Below are 17093 nucleotides of genomic sequence, written 5' to 3'. Positions count from 1 at the left end.
AGTTCTGTGCCGGCCAAGATCCCGGCTAGCGCCGCTATCATTGGTTAGTTCCAAGTTTGCCCGCCCCTCTTCCTCCTCCTTTTTCCGCCCCCTCCCTCCCGCGGAAGCTGGGGGCGCATGCGTAGAGGTGGACGCTCCCCTCCCCCGCCCGGGGTAACTGAGGACTCCCGCGCGCGGACTCGCTGCGCCCCACCCTCCCTTTCCCCGGGGCCGTCCGGAGAGCGGGGGCGAGCTTGAAAGTTCCAGAACGCTGCGGTGAGTGCGTTATCGTGAGGCGGAGCGCGGTGGGGTGGGTGCGGAAGGGGGCGAGGCCCGAGGAGTGGAGCCGGGCTTGTGATTGGGTCTTGTAAGGGCAGCCGGGCGTCTATTGGCCGGGGAAGCCGTAATGGCAGGCAGCAGGGGCGGGCCCCTTCTGGAAGGTTCTAAGATAGGGTATAAGAGGCAGGGTGGCGGGCGGAAACCGGTCTCATTGAACTCGCCTGCAGCTCTTGGGTTTTTTGTGGCTTCCTTCGTTATTGGAGCCAGGCCTACACCCCAGGTAAAACCTCTGCTCAAGAGTTGGGTTGTGGGTCTGGGAGCGTGCAGCCTCCACACAGGCCTGTTGGGCTTGCTGAGGCTTGGGGGTTCTGAGAATCTCGTCGAGGCGAGTGTGCGGCTCCTTCTACCGGCTTAAAGGGCCTCAGTTTTCGGTGGGATGGCAGCGGTATTTGGTTGCAGCCGGCAGGACGGAAATGTAGGGAGTGGGCCGCAGTGGCCCCAGGGGAGGCTGGGAGACGCCCGGCGGCCGCGTGGCGGGGGAGGGTTGCTGCATCGGTTTGCCTGGCGCGCGGGGAAGTGGAGCCAGCGTTTTCTTTCACCCAGTTCCCTGCTTAGTCCAGTCCCACCGTGGTTCTTCAGAGCTGTTCTTGGCGTGCTTCCAGTATGGGGGTACATTCCGGAGTAGTTAAAAGCCCGTTGACTCCCGGGGGCACTGGCACCTGGCGAGGGAGGGGAACAGACAGTGCTCAGTTCGGGGTAAGACCACGTGTTGAGCAACGCCCCACGCCGTCTGGGTAGATGGGTCCTTCATCTAGGGCGTGCTCTGCTGCGGTTGGCACGGCAACCTGGACTGCAGCACTAGTTCTGGACCTCGCGCGTGCTTAGACAGGAGGTGATGGGCACTATTACCTCTTGGCAGTGGCCATACGTTTTTCCTGGTTAAGTGTTCTGTTAAGGGATGAGGGAAATATTTTGATTAATTGAATTTTTAAACCAGATTTTTCTTTTTTTCAGCAACCATGTCCAAGGGACCTGCAGTTGGTATTGATCTTGGCACCACCTACTCTTGTGTGGGTGTTTTCCAGCACGGAAAAGTCGAGATAATTGCCAATGATCAGGGAAACCGAACCACTCCAAGCTATGTCGCCTTTACGGACACTGAACGGTTGATCGGTGATGCCGCAAAGAATCAAGTTGCAATGAACCCCACCAACACAGTTTTTGGTGAGTTCCTAATTTTAAATGACAGAACAAATATAACAGGGCTAGGAAGCACAAAAGTTTATGAAACGTGAGGAGGGAACTTTTTGATTTTAGAAAAACTGAGCTGAGAGACTTGTTATCAAGTCTGTTATAAAACAGGTTGTAGAAACCTTTCAGGCTGAAATCTGGATAACGTAGGAGGTTGAAGTTTGAACCTTTGCTACCTATATGGTAGTTGAATTCACCTACCTATGAACTGTTAGGTATTTGAGTAATCATGGACTTGAGTTTTATCAGAAGAGCTATGAAATTGAAAGTGTTTTCATTTGACACCTTTTACAGATGCCAAACGTCTGATTGGACGCAGATTTGATGATGCTGTTGTCCAGTCTGATATGAAACATTGGCCCTTTATGGTGGTGAATGATGCTGGCAGGCCCAAGGTCCAAGTAGAATACAAGGGAGAGACCAAAAGCTTCTATCCAGAGGAGGTGTCTTCTATGGTTCTGACAAAGATGAAGGAAATTGCAGAAGCCTACCTTGGGAAGGTGAGGTTGGTTTTTCAGTATGGGGTGCATTCCGGAGTAGTTAAAAGCCCGATGACTCCCGGGGGCACTGGCACCTGGCGAGGGAGGGGAACAGATGGGGCTCAGCTCAGGGTTAAGACCACGTGCCCAACAGTGCCCTAGGCTCTCTAGGTAGATGGGTCTGTCAACACCAGAAACCAGTGAATCTTGACAATTACACAGTAATTTACATTTTGGTGGGGGGGGTGCTCCAGCTGTTCTTTCACCAGCATTAATCCATTTGCTGGAGTTTGCATATATGTAAGTATAATAGTTACCAATCTGTGGTCTTTTCCTTATTCCTAGACTGTTACCAATGCTGTGGTCACAGTGCCAGCTTACTTTAATGACTCTCAGCGTCAGGCTACCAAAGATGCTGGAACTATTGCTGGTCTCAATGTACTTAGAATTATTAATGAGCCAACTGCTGCTGCTATTGCTTACGGCTTAGACAAAAAGGTATGTACCATTTGTGATGCAAGTTCGGATTATTTTAAGATTAATTTGATCCATCGTAAATTTAAATGAGATTGTTTTTAACGGCAGGTTGGAGCAGAAAGAAACGTGCTCATCTTTGACCTGGGAGGTGGCACTTTTGATGTGTCAATCCTCACTATTGAGGATGGAATCTTTGAGGTCAAGTCTACAGCTGGAGACACCCACTTGGGTGGAGAAGATTTTGACAACCGAATGGTCAACCATTTTATTGCTGAGTTTAAGCGCAAGCATAAGAAGGACATCAGTGAGAACAAGAGAGCTGTAAGACGCCTCCGTACTGCTTGTGAACGTGCTAAGCGTACCCTCTCTTCCAGCACCCAGGCCAGTATTGAGATCGATTCTCTCTATGAAGGAATCGACTTCTATACCTCCATTACCCGTGCCCGATTTGAAGAACTGAATGCTGACCTGTTCCGTGGCACCCTGGACCCAGTAGAGAAAGCCCTTCGAGATGCCAAACTAGACAAGTCACAGATTCATGATATTGTCCTGGTTGGTGGTTCTACTCGTATCCCCAAGATTCAGAAGCTTCTCCAAGACTTCTTCAATGGAAAAGAACTGAATAAGAGCATCAACCCTGATGAAGCTGTTGCTTATGGTGCAGGTAACAATGGTATCTCAATTAACCCTAAAGGCAGGCAGGCCCAAGGTGACTCGCTGTGATGAGTGATTGTTAAACATTCGTAGTTTCCACCAAAAGCTTGGCTAATGATGGCAACACCTTCCTTGGATGTCTGAGCGAGTGATAGTTAAAACAGGAGCTATGTACTGGGTTTTCTTTTAACTTCTTTTAACGTTAACTTTTTGTTTGCTAGCTGTCCAGGCAGCCATCTTGTCTGGAGACAAGTCTGAGAATGTTCAAGATTTGCTGCTCTTGGATGTCACTCCTCTTTCCCTTGGTATTGAAACTGCTGGTGGAGTCATGACTGTCCTCATCAAGCGTAATACCACCATTCCTACCAAGCAGACACAGACCTTCACTACCTATTCTGACAACCAGCCTGGTGTGCTTATTCAGGTATGTTTCTGTACTTCTCTTGTTTGGCTTACTGATAACAGATAAAGGGAAGTCTTGACTGACTCGCTATGATGATGGATTCCAAAACCATTCGTAGTTTCCACCAGAAAGTCTTATGTTGGCCAGTTCCTTCCTTGGATGTTTGAGCGACCATTCTTCCTTAGCAGGACCCTAGCACTGTCACAGACCTGGAGTCCATTGTAGTAATTTGTTTTATTTCCTACCAAGGTTTATGAAGGCGAGCGTGCCATGACAAAGGATAACAACCTGCTTGGCAAGTTTGAACTCACAGGCATACCTCCTGCACCCCGAGGTGTTCCTCAGATTGAAGTCACTTTTGACATTGATGCCAATGGTATACTCAATGTCTCTGCTGTGGACAAGAGTACGGGAAAAGAGAACAAGATTACTATCACTAATGACAAGGGTAAGGAGGCACTGTCATCTGGTCTTGACAGGGATAATGGTATTTCAATTGAGTTACTGGTGCCTAAGGGCGTCTAGCTAAGAGAAACTAGAGTTACACATACACAGGTAATTTAAGGCTTTTACTTAGAGTTAATTTCTTTCCTAGGCCGTTTGAGCAAGGAAGACATTGAACGTATGGTCCAGGAAGCTGAGAAGTACAAAGCTGAAGATGAGAAGCAGAGGGACAAGGTGTCATCCAAGAATTCACTTGAGTCCTATGCCTTCAACATGAAAGCAACTGTTGAAGATGAGAAACTTCAAGGCAAGATTAACGATGAGGACAAACAGAAGATTCTGGACAAGTGTAATGAAATTATCAACTGGCTTGATAAGAATCAGGTTTGTGTTTTTTTTTTTTTTTTTTCCTCCCCCACTCAATGGAGGGGAAGGGGATGGTAAACCAAGCTTGAGCTGGATTTCAGTGTAGGGTCACAATGATGAATGGTCCAAAACATTCGCGGTTTCCACCAGAATTCAAGGTGTTGGCAACTACCTTCCTTGGATGTCTGAGTGACCCAAGATGTTAAGGAAGAATAAGGCCCTATTTTAATGTTGGTAGTGGCCCTCTTGTAAGAGTTTGCGCCAGACTTTTAGTATCAGATTGCGTCAGGGAGAAAGAAGGGTTATTAACATTAAAAGAACTTGCAGTAATTCCTTTTTCTCTTCCTCAGACTGCTGAGAAGGAAGAATTTGAACATCAACAGAAAGAGCTGGAGAAAGTTTGCAACCCCATCATCACCAAGCTGTACCAGAGTGCAGGAGGCATGCCAGGAGGAATGCCTGGGGGATTTCCTGGTGGTGGAGCTCCTCCCTCTGGTGGTGCTTCCTCAGGGCCCACCATTGAAGAGGTTGATTAAGCCAACCAAGTGTAGATGTAGCATTGTTCCACACATTTAAAACATTTGAAGGACCTAAATTCGTAGCAAATTCTGTGGCAGTTTTAAAAAGTTAAGCTGCTATAGTAAGTTACTGGGCATTCTCAATACTTGAATATGGAACATATGCACAGGGGAAGGAAATAACATTGCACTTTATAAACACTGTATTGTAAGTGGAAAATGCAATGTCTTAAATAAAACTATTTAAAATTGGCACCATACAATTGCTTTGAGTCTTTAAATAATCTCCCAGGCCAGCTGGTGGGAGAAGTAGGCTTAGGTGATTATGTGACTCTTACTTTCTCCTTCCTCTTAAGCTTGAGTTAACAAGGGCTGGGTGGCAAGTTGCCCTTCAGAGCATTGTGGATGGTACATTTTGGAATTCAGAGCTTTGAGAAGGGGAGCATAAGAAATTGGATCTGGATCAAACTAACCTTAGTCCTTAGGCTGGAGAGGCAGAAAGCTGACTTAATGGTGTTTTCTAAACTTATTCTGTGTGTAAGCCTGCCTAGGAGCAGAGGCTTTCCTGGAGGGTTGTGCTAGATGAGTAAGAATTTAGAGATCAGAATCAAATAATGGGCAGTGAATATTAAGCTACATGGCAGAGGTATCTGAATGTCAATCCCTTATATGAGCCACTGCCCTGTGGGCTTCCATTTCTTCCTGAGTTAAGATTATTCAGAAGGTCGGGGATGGAGCTAAGCTGCCACCTGGTTAATTAAGGTCCCAACAGTGAGTTGTGATAGCCTAGGGGAGCAGGCTGTTACCTGTCATTACGTACGTGACAGATTTCAGTGGACTAGCTAATCTTAGCATATGCCAAAAAGCTAATTCATGGAGGAGCTGCAGTTTTTCTCTTTGGTACTGAAGGGCTACTAATGTCTGGGTATCTCAGTGGGAATTTGTAGCACGATTTGATATACTTCTCATTCCATATTTTCTCCAAGGTTACAAAAAATGACAAGTAGTACACACTTCTTTTTTTGAAGGGTTTTACTCTTGTTGCCCAGGCTGTAGTGCAATAGCACGATCTCATTGCAATGGTGCAAACCCTGTCTCCTGGGTTCAAGGGATTCTCCTGCCTCAGCCTCCCAAGTAGCTGGGATTACAGCCATGCGCCACCATTCCTGGCTAATTTGTATTTTTTAGTAGAGATGAGGTTTCTCCATGTTGGTCAGGCTGATCTCCCTACCTCAGGTGGTGCACCCGCCTCGGCCTCCCAAAATGCTGGGATTACAGGTGTGAGTCACTGCACCTGACAGCAATGCACGTTTTTGGCATGTTTCTTTTGTTTGGGTGAGAATCTTACCTGGGCTTCAGTTTTCCATAGGGGTGTGTTATCACTTGTGCAGGCTGGACTGGAACTCCTGGGTCCAAGTGGTCACCCAGCCTTAGTTCCAAGTAGCTGGCTCTACAGGTGTATGTCACTGCACATGGCCATACCATGTATTTGAGATGCTACAAACTTTTTTGATGCCTTGACTCAACGAGACTAAAGGGTAAATATACTTTGATCTCGTTTCATGTGGAATCTTAAAAATATGTGGAAGGTTTTCAGTGGTAGCTGTTACTGTAAATTTTTGAACTTCAGGTTAATGTTAGCTTAATGTTCATTAGCAAAACACAAAATTAGAGGAGTAAATATGGCAATGTTTCCCCTATACAGATAATAACTTGTTGGACATGTGTAATGTATAGCAAGGAATTGGGGCCTGGGAAGGTGGGAATTAATATTTGCTAGGTTTTCTCAGTTATTCGTATTATACTTTCATCTATTTATAAACCAGAATGTGTTTATAGATGATACTGAGGCTCAGGTGGACACTTAATGTCATCACATAGTCTAATCTGGGGAAATGGATTTTTTTTTTTTTTTGAGAGCCTCCAGCCTCCCTTACCTAGGCTGGAGTGCAGTGGTGCGATCTCACTGCAGACATTGCCTCCCACTTTTGCATCCTCCCACCTTTGCATTCTCCCACCTGACTAGCTGGGACACCATGCCCAGCTAATTTTCATATTTTCTATAGAGCGGGAGTTTTGCCATGTTGCCAGGCTGGTCTTGAATTTTTGACCTCAAAATGGTTTGCCCCACCTTGACCTCCCAAAGTGCCGAGATTACAGGTGTGAGCCACTGTGCCTGGCCTATTGTTTGTAATTAGGGTTCTGCTGTGGGCTAGTAGTTTAAAAAACCAGTAAAGATGTTTAAACCCTATAAATGTCTAATTAGCTGTTAGGTAAGGCTTAGAGAAAGAGAAGGTAACCATAGGGACAGCAGTGTCTACCACTTCCCATTGAATTTCGAGTTAATGGCAATTGCTTCTCCCCTTATTTGATTCTCCAAATAACCTTACAATGGAGGGATGTTTGGATGCTCTGGCTGTGCATGCACAAATCTACACGGTGGCAAAATTTGCTTTTGCAAGTTACTGTAAGGAGGTTTGAGTTTATAAGAGGAAACTCCATGACCTAGATGGTTCTGTCCCTGCTGCACAGGGCGCTACTGGATTGGGAAGACAGGCCAAAAAACTTAATCTCTAGGTCCAGTTTAGGAGTTACATGCAGGTTTCTGGTGAACTTGGCAATATGGTTATATTCTAAAATGTATTTTTATTACTATAGCTCTCTCAGTTTCTACTTGACCTTATTAGACATTTTTCTTTTTTTTTTTTTTTTTTGGAGATGGGAGTCTTGCTCTGTTTCCCAGGCTGGAGTGCAGTGGTGTGATCTCAGCTTGCTGCAGCCTCCACCTCCCGGGCTCAAGCAATTCTGCCTAAGTCTCCTGAGTAGCTGGGACTACAGGTGCACGCTGCCACACCCAGCTAATGTTTTGTGTTTTAGTAGAGATGGGGTTTCATCGTGTACCGAGGCTCAGTATCCTGAGCTCAGGCAATCTGCCCGCCTCCCAAAGTGCTGGGATTACAAGCATGAGCCACCACGCCTGGCCCTTAATAGACTTAAACTTCTAAGGCAATAGTATAAAGCCACAATAATAAAATTATCCAACAATATTACTACAATATTTGTTACATATAAAATTAAAAAATGACAATGCCCGTGAAAAATCCTTTGTCCAAACTATATTGAGTACTTACAATGTTCCAGGCTTTAGGCTTTCAAAGGAAAAGTGGTCTTTTGGATTCCATTAAGGTGGGATGAAGTGGTTGCAGGACATAAATAGAAACGCTGAGAGTTTCCGTATCTGTGGGTCTACGTACTGATGTAGTCATCTTTGTCCACTAGATGGCAGTAGCTATTTATAAAACTATCAGAGTACCCCGGGGGAAGCTGCTGTAGCATTGTCTGTGCTGTTTGTTGTGCTTTCTAGCTGGAAGCACAGCAAATAATGAAGAAGGAAAAGGAAGTCAGCTCTAAATATCCACAATTACCTTCCAGGCAAAGCATTCTTTTTCTCCTTTTTTTTTTTTTTTTTTTGAGATGGAATTTCGCTCTTGTTGCCCAGGCTGGAGTGCGATGATGAGATCTCAGCTCACTGCAACCTCCACCTCCCGGGCTCAAGCAATTCTCCTGCCTCAGCTTCCCGAGTAGCTGGGATTACAGCCATGCGCCACCATGCCCGGCTAATTTTGTGGTTTTGGTAGAGACAGGGTTTCTCCATGTTGGTCAGGCTGGTCTCGAGCTCCCGAGCTCGGGTGATCCACCCGCTTCAGCCTCCCAAAGTGCTGGGATTACAGGTGTGAGCCACTGCGCCCGGCCCAGCATTCTCAACTGAGCAAGTGCCCTGCTTAGGTGGGAGTAATGGCTTGAGTTGAGATCTCAGGATACTTGGGCAATGGGTATGGAGGGATGGGTAATACAGACAGGTTTAGAATACAGAGGGTGAGGTGAAGAAAAAGCTCAGAGAATATAGCCTTTCCGGAGCCACACTGGCTAGTTTAAGTCCCCATATTATTTCCCTCATCCCCCTGAACTGCTTCTGGGTTTCTCAACACACTTTGGTGAAATGCTTAAATTCCTCAGGAAGCTCACCCAAGAATGGAGAAGCACCTGTGTGCACACCTGTGTTCCCAGTGTCTGGCACATAAGCAACATATATTTGTCAAGTGAATGAATAAAAAGGGGTGGGTGGAGCAGGTACCCAAGAGGGTAGAATGTGCTCCCTTTGTGCTTTATAATAGTCTGCTCATGATCATCTCTCTTGGAAGAGTGGGAGGGTGGTTGCTGGATGAGCTCAGACTCACTCTCTGTTCCTTGCAGGGTGGGGAGCCAACATTAGAGTTGCATGTGATGAGAAGAAAGTGATCAAACCTGGAGCAGATTTGGGTAAAGGAAAGTTGGCAATAACAGAATTGCCAAGATCTTGACCGGAATAAAGGTCTTTACATTGCCCCTGAGATCTGGGCACTATGTGGAGTCAGTGGGATGAACAGAGACAGTGTAGCTAGTCTGCAGTATAAGACTGTCAGGGCCTGCCTGGAGCAATGGGGCCTGTCCTAGAACACTGGGCCACAGCACAGAACATTCAGAGCATGCAGCCAGCTCAATTTTTTATTTATTTTATTTTATTATTATTATTATTTAGACAGGGTCTTGCTCTGTCACTCAAGCTGGGATGCAGTTTCATGATCACAGCTCACTGCAGCCTCCGCCTCCTGGGCTCAAGTGATCCTCTTACTGAGTAACTGGAACCACAAGCGCATGCCACCACGGCCAGCTAATTTTGTACTTTTTTGTGTAGAGATGGGGTTTTGCCATGTTGCCAAGATAAAGACACCATCAAGAAAGTGAAAGGCAAACCCATAAAACTAGATAAAATATAAATCATATATCTGATAAGGGACTGTTATCCCGAATATATGAAAAACACTCATAACTCAAAAAGACAACCCATTTTTTAAAATGGGCAAAATGTCTGAATAGACACTTCTTCAATGAAGATAAACAAATAGCTAATAAGCACATGAAAAGATGCTCAACATTAGCCACCAGTGAAATGCAAGTTATCACAGAGATAGAATTTCTCGTACATTAGGAATTTCTCGTATAATCAAGCTGGCAAGGATGTAGAGAACTTAGGACCCTCATACACTGTTGGTGGTATAGCCATTTTGGAAAACACTGATGGGGCTGGGCGCTGTGGCTCACACCTGTAATCCCAGCACTTTGAGAGGCCGAGGAGGAGGGCGGATCACCTGCGGTCGGGAGTTCAAGACCAGCCTGGGCAACGTGGTGAAACCCCATCTCTACTAAAAATACAAAAATTAGCCGGATATGGTGGTGTGTGCCTGTAATCCCAGCTACTCCGGAGGCTGAAGCAAAAGAATCGCTTGAACCCGGGAAGCAGAGGTTGCAGTGAGCTGAGATCACACCACTGCACTCCAGCCTGGGCAACAGAGTGAGACTTTGTCTCAAATAAAAAAAAAAAAAGGAATTGAGTACTGATATGTGGTACAACATAGATTAGCCTTAAAAACATTATGGTAAGTGAAAGAACCCAGTCATAAAAAAACACATATGATTCTATTGATATGAAATGTGCAGAATAGGAAATCTTTTAAGACAAAAAAGATTGATGGTTGCATAGGCTGAGGGGAAAAACGGGGAGAAATACAGAGTGATAAAGGGTATGGGATATTTGTTTTGGGGTGATCAGATTGTTCTAAATTAATTGTGATGATTGCACAATTCTGTAAACTAAAAATATTGAATTACACACTTTAGATGGGTGAATTGTATGATCTCAATAAATACATATATTAACTGAAAAAGAAAGAGGCGTAGGGCTGGTTTCCCCTGCAAGGAGAAAAGAGAAAGCGAGACAGAGACAGAGACAAAGGCCTACCATTGTAATTGGGAACATGGATGAGGAAGAACAATATTGCTCAGCTGAAGGCTGAGGTGGGTGGATTGCTTGAGGCCAGGAATTCAAGAGCAGCCTGGGCAACATGGCAAAATCTCATCTCTACTAAAACACAAAAATTAGCTGGGCATGGTGGCGTATGCCTGTGGTCCTAGCTGCTTGGGAGGCTGAGATGGGAGGATGGCTTGAACCTGGGAGGCAGAGGTTGCAGTGAGCTGAGATGGTGCCACTGCACTCCATCCTGGGCGATGGAGTGAGACTCTGTCCGCCCCCCCACTCCACAAAAAAGAAGGAAAAAGAAAAAAAAAATAAGATTCTTACTCTCAAAGAATGGAATAATCATGGCTGTGCTGGGTTTACTGGGCTTTTTTTTTTTTGGTAGTTTTATACTTTTATTTTATAATCAACAGTTAGCGCTCATCCATGTTGACGGTCTATACATTTTTGAAAGTGGTAACAGGTACATAGGTACAGCGCTGTTTTTGGTGAATCTTCATCCTCATGTTTTCTGTGCACATGGATATGGATATAGTATGGGACATTCCTTATTCCTTTGGCCCAGACAGTTTTGTTAAGCCTGATATCAATGTGTACATCTGGAGTCCGCATCTCCATGGCCAATTTCCGGATCTCTCTGAGTGCCCAAGGGGCACCCTTTTTGAAGCCCACTTCACGGGTACGCATGTAAATGTTGATGGTGGAGTCTCAGATGATCACCTCCGCTGATGGCAGAATGGTCCTTCTCACCGCCCTTCTCTGCAAGAGCCATTCTGCTGGGTCCAGACCTTTTCGTTTTTGTTTTTGTTTTTGTTTTTTTGAGACAGAGTTTCACTCTGTTGCCGAGGCTGGAATGCAGTGGCGCCATCTCGGCTCACTGCAACCTCCACTGCCCGAGTTCAAAGGATTGTCGGCTTCAGCTTCAGGAGTAGCTGGGATTACAGGCATGCGCCACCATGCCTGGCTAAATTTTTTGTATTTTTAGTAGCGACAGGGTTTCACCATGTTGGCCAGGCTGGTCTCGAACTCCTGGCCTCAAGCGGTCCACCCATCTTGGCCTCCCACAGTGCTGGGATTACAGGCGTGAGCCACTGTGCTGGCCTGTTTTTTATTTTTTTAAAAATTTCTACACTTTCATTTGAGACATTGTGGTCACTCAAACCAAGTGGATACAGGTCCCCTTAGGAGCTGGGAAAAGATTAGATTGTACTGAAAAGAAGGTGGGTTGTGGCCTTATGGGCGCGGTGGCTCACGCCTGTAATCTCAGCACTGTGGGAAACTGAGGCAGGCAGATCACCTGAGGTCAGGAGTTCAAGACCAGCCTGGCCAACATGGTGAAACCCCAACTCTACTAAAAATACAAAAATTAGCCAGGTGTGGCGGCACATGCCTGTAATCCCAGCTACTCAGGAGGCTGAGGCAGGAGAATCATTGGAACGAGGGAGGCGGAGGTTCCAGTGAGCCAAGATTGCGCCACTGCACTCCAGCCTGGGCGACAGAGCGAGACTCCATGTCAAAAAGAGAAAGAAAGAAAGGAAAGAAGGAACAACGGTCTTGCCAAGAAGGGCTTCGGTCACGTGCAGTCTATTCACTGCAAGAACTGTGCCCGATGCGTGCCCAAGGATAAGGCCATTGAGAAATTCATCATTTGGCCAGGCGCGGTGGCTCACACCTGTAATCCCAGCACTTTGGGAGGCCAAGGTGGGCAGATCACGAGGTCAAGAGATTGAGACCATCCTGGCCAACATGGTGAAAGCCCGTCCCTACTAAAAATACAAAAATTAGCTGGGCATGGTGGCAAGCGCCTGTAGTCCCAGCTATTCGGGAAGCTGAGGCAGGAGAATCGCTTGAACTAGGGAGGCAGAGGTTGCAGTGAGGCAAGATCGTGCCACTGCACTCAGCCCTGGTGACAGAGTGAGACTCTGTCTCAAAAAAAATAAAAAAAATTTGTCATTTGAAACATAGTGGAGGCTGCAGCAATCAGGGACATTTCTGAAGCAAGCGTCTTCGATACCTATGTGCTTCCCAAGCTGAATGTGAAGCTACATTACTGTGTGAGTTGTGCAATTCACAGCAAAGTAGTCAGGAATTAATCTCATGACACCAGCAAGGTCCATTTATACCCGTGGGTGCTGCCCCATGACCCCCACCAAAGCCCATGTAAGGAGCTGAGTCCTTAAAGACTGAAGACGAGCCGGGCACTGTGGCTCACGCCTGTAATCCCAGTACTTTGAGAGGCTGAAGCAGGTGGATCACGAGGTCAGGAGATTGAGACCATCCTGGCTAACACGGTGAAACCCTGTCTCTACTAAAAAAATACAAAAAAAAAAAAAAAAAAAAATCAGCCGGGCATGGTGGCAGGCGCCTGTAATCCCAGCTACTCAGGAGGCTGAGGCAGGAGAATGGCGTGAACCCGGGAGGCGGAGCTTGCAGTGAGCCGAGATCGTGCCACTGTACTCCAGCCTGGACAACAGAGCAAGACTCCGTCTCAAAAAAAAAAAAAAAAAGACTGAAGATGGATTATTCTCTGGAGAAAAATAAAATAGAAATTGTACATAAAAAAAATTAAAATTGTCTGGGCACGGTGGCTCACGCCTGTAATCCCAGCACTTTGGGAGGCTGAGGCAACTCCCAACCTCACCTGAGGTCGGGAATTCAAGACCAGCCTGACCAACATGGAGAAACCCCGTGTCTACTAAAAATACAAAATTAGCCGGGTGTGGTGGTGCATGCCTGTAATCCCAGCTTCTTGGGAGGCTGAGGCAGGAGAATCGCTTGAACCTGGGAGGCGGAGGTCGGTGAGCGGAGATGGCACCACTGCACTCCAGCCTGGGCAACAAGAGTGAAACTGTCTAAAAAAAAAAAAGTAAAAAAGAAATGGGGGTTATAATACTCAACCATTATTTTGTTATGAGGATGAAATTAGCCAGTCTTTGCCAGACTCTCAGAGATGCTCAATAAATGGGGGCTATTATCACTATTAGATTGTAATAATTAGTATTGTTTCCTAAGGTTGCTGTAGCAAAGTTCCAACAACTGTGTAGCTTAAAACAACAGAAATCTACTGGCGGCTAGAGGCCTGACATCAAGGTGTCAGTAGGGCCATGCTTCCTTTAAAGGAGGGAACTGTCCAATGCCTCTCTATGAGCTTCTAGTAGCTTCAGGTGTTTCTTGCATCACTCCAGTCACATGGCTGTCTTCTTTCTGTGTGTCTTCACATCATCTCTCTGTACCTGTCTGTCTCTGTGTCCAGATTCCCACCACTCCCCTCCCCTCTTTTTTTGAGACAGGGTCTCACTCTGTTGCCCAGGCTGGAGTGCAGTGGCACAGTCTCGGCTGACTGCAACCTCTGCTTCCCAGGCTCAAGCAATTCTCCAGTCTCAGCCCCCTAAGTAGCTGGGACTATAGACGTGAGACACCTCACTTGGCTAATTTAAAACATTTTTTTTTTGTAGACACTGGGTTTCTTCATATTGCTCAGGCTGGTCTCAAACTCCTGAGCTCAAAGCGATCTGCCTGCCTCGGCCTCCCAAAGTGCTGGGATTACAGGCATGAGCCACCATGCCCAGCCCAAATTTCCCCTTTCTATAGGAACACATGTCCTACTGCACCTCATTATAACTTGATTACCTCTGTAAGAGACCCCCATTTCCAAATAAGGAAGGTCACATTCTGAGGTTCTGGGGATTAGGACTTCAACATATTTGGGTGGACCGCAGGGAGAAAGGACACAATTTGACCCACAGCAGTTATATTCCCTGTTATCACTGAAGAGAAATTCCCTTCCCAGCTTTTGCACAAAAATAGAAAGTACGTAAGCCCTAGACAAGATCCAAATACCTGTCCTTTAGTGGGACCAACAAAAAGGCCTTTTAATTGCCATCTCTTTCCCTGAAGCTGCTCCCACAGCAGGCCACCAGCTATAGGTCCTGCTCCCCGACATCCTTCCTCGTCCCTCCAGCGTCCCTCCGGATTCCCAAACAATGCCTAATTCTATTATTTCCAGTGATTTCCCCGTGGGCAGCAGTTTATTCCTGTCATCAAGTCTCTGATGAAATCTTTAGCTATGAAATGTTTAGTCCAATCCCAACAAATCGTGTATAGTGTTAACATGTCACAAGCTGCCCGCGGCCTGCATTATGTTGTAATTTGGAAGCGAGAGAAGTGATAATCTAGGGTCGGGCTTCTTTTGTGAGCTTGCATTAATGCTGTAGCCAGTGATGTCAATTGACAGCCCATCGATTTGGGCTAATAGTGCACAGAGGGGGCAGAATTGGGGCGAGATAGGGAATAAAGGATATCGACGGCCAGTCGCCAGGATCCTGGCAGCTTTTAATCTATTATTGCCCTCTTTTAATGCAACTTCCGTGTCAACTGCATTTACTTCCACCAGCTCTGCCTGCTGCGCTGAACTGTGCAGCCAGTGGGGTGCCACCCCCAGAGTGGTTCAAAGTTCCCCAGTATTGATTCTCAGATGCTCTGGGGTGTGAATTATAATTATTTCATTAAGCCCTTTAATGGGTATCAACTATGAACCTTCCCCAGCTTAGGCTGGGGAGGCCAGGGCGAGGTCTGCATCATTAATCTGTGTTCATCTCGTTGCCACCAATTGTCCTACTCTCGACCCTTATTTTTTTTTCTCCTATTATCAGGTCTGTGGTTTTAGTGGGAAGCAGGTCAGTCTACTCCCAGAGAGGAACTGGAAAGAGGAGTTGGCTGATTTGGGGAGATTGGAGGGGAGGCCATGGTTGAGCAGATTGCAGTGTTGGCTACTCCCACTAAGGAACTACTAATCACACCATCAGATGTGCTTTGCCCAGCTCTGGTTTGCCTGTGCAGGGAGGTGACGCAGGAGACCTTGGGACAAAGTGAGAGATCTTGCAGCTGCTTCCTTGTGAGGCTTTGAGTCCTGACATAGCTCAGGAATATTCCATCCTCTTGCTTAAATCATCCATCACCTTTACTAGGGCGCTATGGATACAAAGGAGTACAAAATACTCCCTTGTGCCCCCAAGGAGCTTACACTTTAGAAAGAGGAAAAGGGATGAACACGTAAATACGCAGCAATGAGACAGACACCAGTGAGCATTGAGAAAGGGCAGAGGACAGGGAGTTATGAAATCCAGTGGAAGAAGCTCTTGACCCAGGATTGAGGATGGAGGGAGGCTTTCTGGAGGAGCAAATGCCTAAGCTGAGCCTAAAGAATGAGCAGGAGATGGCCAGATGAGAGAGAAGAAGAGCAGCCCAGTCAGTGGGAACAGCATGTTCCAAAGGCACGGAAGCAAAGGCCAGATGGCAGAATCTCATCCAGTCAAGTAAGGCTCAGACTTTATATGAGGTGGGGAAAAGTTCCAGCCCTCACTCAGGTTTCTTGCCTTCTCATGCACCTCCCACTGTGGCTAAATCTCACCTGGAGCCTTAAGAAAGCTAAAAAAGAGTCTCAGATGCATTTCCCACCATTTTACCAGGTCCCTTCTTGTTTGGACCAAAATTTCATTTAGGCCAAGAGTGATTTTTATTTCAGGCTCTTCACTTCTTTGGTTCCCAGGGTGGTTTAAAAATATGTCTGCCTTTTTTTTTTCTTTTTTTTTGAGATGGAGTCTTGCTCTGTTGCCCAGGCTAGAGTGCAATGGTGCAATCTCAGCTCACTACAACCTCCGCCTCCTGGGTTCAAGCAATTCTCCTGCCTCAGCCTTCCAACTAGCTGGGACTATAGGCATGCATCACCATGCCTAGCTAATTTTTGTATTTTTAGTAAAGACAGGTTTTGCCAGGCTGGTCTTGAACTCCTGACCTCAGGTGATCCACCAGCGTTGGACTCCCAAAGTGCTGGGGTTATAGGCGTGAGCCACTGCACCTGGCCTTTTTTTTTGAGACGTAGTCTCACTGTGTCACTCAGGCTGGAGTGCAGTGGCATGTTGGCTCACTGCAACCTCCACCTCCCAGGTTCAAGCTATTCTCTTGCCTCAGCCTCCCAAGCAGCTGGAACTACAGGCACCTGCCACCACACTCAGCTACTTTTTTTTTTTTTTTTTTGAGACGGAGTCTCGCTCTGTCGCCCAGTCTGGAGTGCAGTGGCGCGATCTTGGCTCACTACAAACTCCACCTCCCGGGTTCATGCCATTCTCCTGCCTCGGCCTCCCGAGCAGCTGGGACTACAGGCACCCGCCACCATACCCGGCTAATTTTTTGTGTTTTTTTTAGTAGAGACGGGGTTTCACCATGTTAGCCAGGATGGTCTCGATCTCCTGACCTTGTGATCCACCCACCTCGGCCTCCCAAAGTGCTGGGATTACAGACGTGAGCCACCGTGCTTTTTTTTTTTTTTTTTTTTTTAATGTACAGAGTCTAATTCCTCTGCCTTTGAATATGGGCTGTCCTCAGGCACT

The 17093-nt window shown here is 46.5% G+C and overlaps 1 protein-coding gene, 3 non-coding genes and 2 pseudogenes across 6 annotated transcripts, besides 2 other annotated features; 5 read left to right on the top strand and 1 right to left on the bottom strand.

Moving 5' to 3' along the window:
* Nucleotides 8–397: a silencer, noted in NCBI's record as "silent region_4011". NCBI's record gives its function as "represses an Ori minimal core promoter by ATAC-STARR-seq in GM12878 lymphoblastoid cells {active_cell/tissue: GM12878}" and the evidence as "EXISTENCE:reporter gene assay evidence [ECO:0000049][PMID:35858748]".
* Nucleotides 140–5113, top strand: HSPA8 (heat shock protein family A (Hsp70) member 8). 3 transcript variants are annotated; one of them, XM_011542798.2, is made up of 9 exons: nt 140–255; nt 1273–1482; nt 1804–2009; nt 2334–2486; nt 2574–3129; nt 3341–3543; nt 3772–3970; nt 4118–4350; nt 4683–5113. In XM_011542798.2, exons 2-9 carry the CDS (start codon nt 1278–1280, stop codon nt 4866–4868), a joined length of 1941 nt encoding a protein of 646 aa, XP_011541100.1. In that variant the 5' UTR covers nt 140–255; nt 1273–1277; the 3' UTR covers nt 4869–5113. The 3 variants fall into 3 exon arrangements, with proteins under 3 accessions (XP_011541100.1, NP_006588.1, NP_694881.1); NM_006597.6 differs by lacking the exon at nt 140–255 and adding an exon at nt 466–538; NM_153201.4 differs by lacking the exons at nt 140–255; nt 4118–4350 and adding an exon at nt 466–538 and having other exon boundaries at nt 3772–3835; nt 4774–5113.
* Nucleotides 548–717: an enhancer, noted in NCBI's record as "active region_5675". NCBI's record gives its function as "activates an Ori minimal core promoter by ATAC-STARR-seq in GM12878 lymphoblastoid cells {active_cell/tissue: GM12878}" and the evidence as "EXISTENCE:reporter gene assay evidence [ECO:0000049][PMID:35858748]".
* SNORD14C (small nucleolar RNA, C/D box 14C) lies at nt 3180–3267 on the top strand. The gene has a single exon (NR_001453.2). It is a non-coding gene; the product is annotated as a small nucleolar RNA, C/D box 14C (small nucleolar RNA).
* SNORD14D (small nucleolar RNA, C/D box 14D) lies at nt 3607–3693 on the top strand. Its single transcript, NR_001454.2, has one exon. It is a non-coding gene; the product is annotated as a small nucleolar RNA, C/D box 14D (small nucleolar RNA).
* On the top strand, nt 4446–4525 carry SNORD14E (small nucleolar RNA, C/D box 14E). Its single transcript, NR_003125.2, has one exon. It is a non-coding gene; the product is annotated as a small nucleolar RNA, C/D box 14E (small nucleolar RNA).
* Nucleotides 11150–11489, bottom strand: RPL31P47 (ribosomal protein L31 pseudogene 47; annotated as a pseudogene).
* RPS26P43 (ribosomal protein S26 pseudogene 43) lies at nt 12645–12895 on the top strand (annotated as a pseudogene).

This window comes from Homo sapiens, chromosome 11 (assembly GCF_000001405.40).
Source record: "Homo sapiens chromosome 11, GRCh38.p14 Primary Assembly".
In the NCBI taxonomy this organism is placed as follows: domain Eukaryota; kingdom Metazoa; phylum Chordata; class Mammalia; order Primates; family Hominidae; genus Homo; species Homo sapiens.
This window is presented reverse-complemented; position numbering and strand designations above follow the sequence as displayed.

Bases quoted from the DNA above. Each gene is read 5' to 3' on its own strand.
- HSPA8 (XM_011542798.2), top strand. From the start codon at position 1,278: ATGTCCAAGGGACCTGCAGTTGGTATTGATCTTGGCACCACCTACTCT. The intron at 3,130-3,340 runs GTAACAATGGTA...TTTGTTTGCTAG, and splicing joins AGCTGTTGCTTATGGTGCAG to CTGTCCAGGCAGCCATCTTG. The intron at 3,971-4,117 runs GTAAGGAGGCAC...TTTCTTTCCTAG, and splicing joins TACTATCACTAATGACAAGG to GCCGTTTGAGCAAGGAAGAC.